The following is a 1,647-nucleotide window of genomic DNA, read 5'->3' on the forward strand; positions in this document are numbered from 1 at the left end:
AAGTGGAGAAAGTCAGGTTGTAGAATGCTGTATAGAGTGTGATTTTATATTGTCAAAAAAAAACCCTTAAAAAACCCAGAAAACCTCTTGTATATGTGCACGTCTGCATGAATACATATAAATAAGTGAGGATAAAGTTCCAGAAGAATATATACCAGCCTTTTGACTCTGGATGCAAAGTAGTGGAGAATTGGGTGTAAGCATGGTGGAGGTATACTGAAATGAATAGTTTTATGTTGTTTCATGTTTTACAATGAGCATATTAATTCTGAACTTTGAAAAAAGATAAATATAGAAAAATATACGTAAGTGCCTTGAAATTTTCATTCAGCGTGGTTGAAGATCGCATAAAGCTAATGATGCTGTCCATGGAAGGCATAAAAAATGTTCTCTAGCTCCATCTTCCATCATCACTAGAGGATGCAAGGACTTTGCCATGGGGCAGGAGTGGGTGGCTGGTGGTAACAGGAAGGATGTACCTGCTGAGGATGAGCAGTAATTTTCTGTTTGAGTCTGTTTTCCTAGGCTTGGATTTTCCGAAGGTAGAACAGAGGTCTGAAAGTCACGGTCATTGCTTAATGGCCTGGCCACCTAATAATTCATGAAGGTCATCCATCTTGCTTTCTCTGACTAGATCTTTTTGGATTGAGTCTCTGCTTTTGGCCAACTGCTGCCTTGCCACAAGAATACCTCACCAAAACAGCAGGGCCTTCTGGCAAGCTCTTGCCATCATTAGCGTGGGCTGTGGGAGTCTGTGTTATAATTTGTGAAAACGTGTCCTCACTGGAATGTAAAATTTCTTCTTTTCTCTGCAGAAAACCTCTCTTGATTGATCATTTCAGTTGTTGTGAGAAGGAAATCATTTATAAGAAGAATCATTGAATAGCATAGCAAGTTTTAAAAAAGCGTTTAATAGCCTCTGGCAGAAATTCCCTATTGAGTCAGTGAGTGTGGGCAGAGAATGTGAGATGAGCCCTCATACAGTGGAATTTTACAGTGAATCCTTTGGCCCTCTGACACTTAGCCATCCCCTCACAGAAAGGCCAGTTGAGTCAATCAGGAAGAATTGCTCTCAGGCCCAGATGACTGACAATTTAAACATATTTGGAAACTATGACTAATACACATGGGTGGAGAAATTTTTTGAAGGGGGCTGTTTAAGAAAAACTATTTGAACTAATAGTACTTCATTTAAACACACATATTAGGCATATGTATGCATATGTATCTCATATACACACATATATGCATGTATGTATCATATACATCTCTCTCTCACACACACACCCCTTATCCTGCACAATGTTTTAGCAGTTTGATATCTATTATCGCATTTAAATAAGCATATAGACTTTTTTGGAGACAGGGTCTCACTCTACTGCCCAGGCTGTAGAACACTGGCACAATCATGGCTCACTGCAGTCTTGACCTCCTGGGCTCAAGCAATCCTCCCACCTCAGCCTCTCAAATAGCTAAGACCACGGGCAGGCACCATAATGCCTGGCTAATTTATTTATTTTAAATGTTTTTGTAGAGATGAGGTCTCCCTATGTTGTCCAGGCTAGAATAGACTTACTGATAATGATTTAAGTCAATGTTTGGTTTAGTCTTAATTTACCTGTACAAGAAAAGAATTTCATCAACTGA

The 1,647-nt window shown here is 39.3% G+C and overlaps 1 annotated feature.

Annotated features, from left to right (window-relative positions):
- Positions 218–1,417: an enhancer, noted in NCBI's record as "P300/CBP strongly-dependent group 1 enhancer chr13:46232427-46233626 (GRCh37/hg19 assembly coordinates)". NCBI's record gives its function as "activates an origin of replication core promoter dependent on BRD2, BRD4, P300/CBP, MED14 and CDK7 cofactors, with strong dependence on P300/CBP, by STARR-seq in HCT116 cells {active_cell/tissue: HCT116}" and the evidence as "EXISTENCE:reporter gene assay evidence [ECO:0000049][PMID:35650434]".

Source organism: Homo sapiens, chromosome 13 (assembly GCF_000001405.40).
Source record: "Homo sapiens chromosome 13, GRCh38.p14 Primary Assembly".
In the NCBI taxonomy this organism is placed as follows: domain Eukaryota; kingdom Metazoa; phylum Chordata; class Mammalia; order Primates; family Hominidae; genus Homo; species Homo sapiens.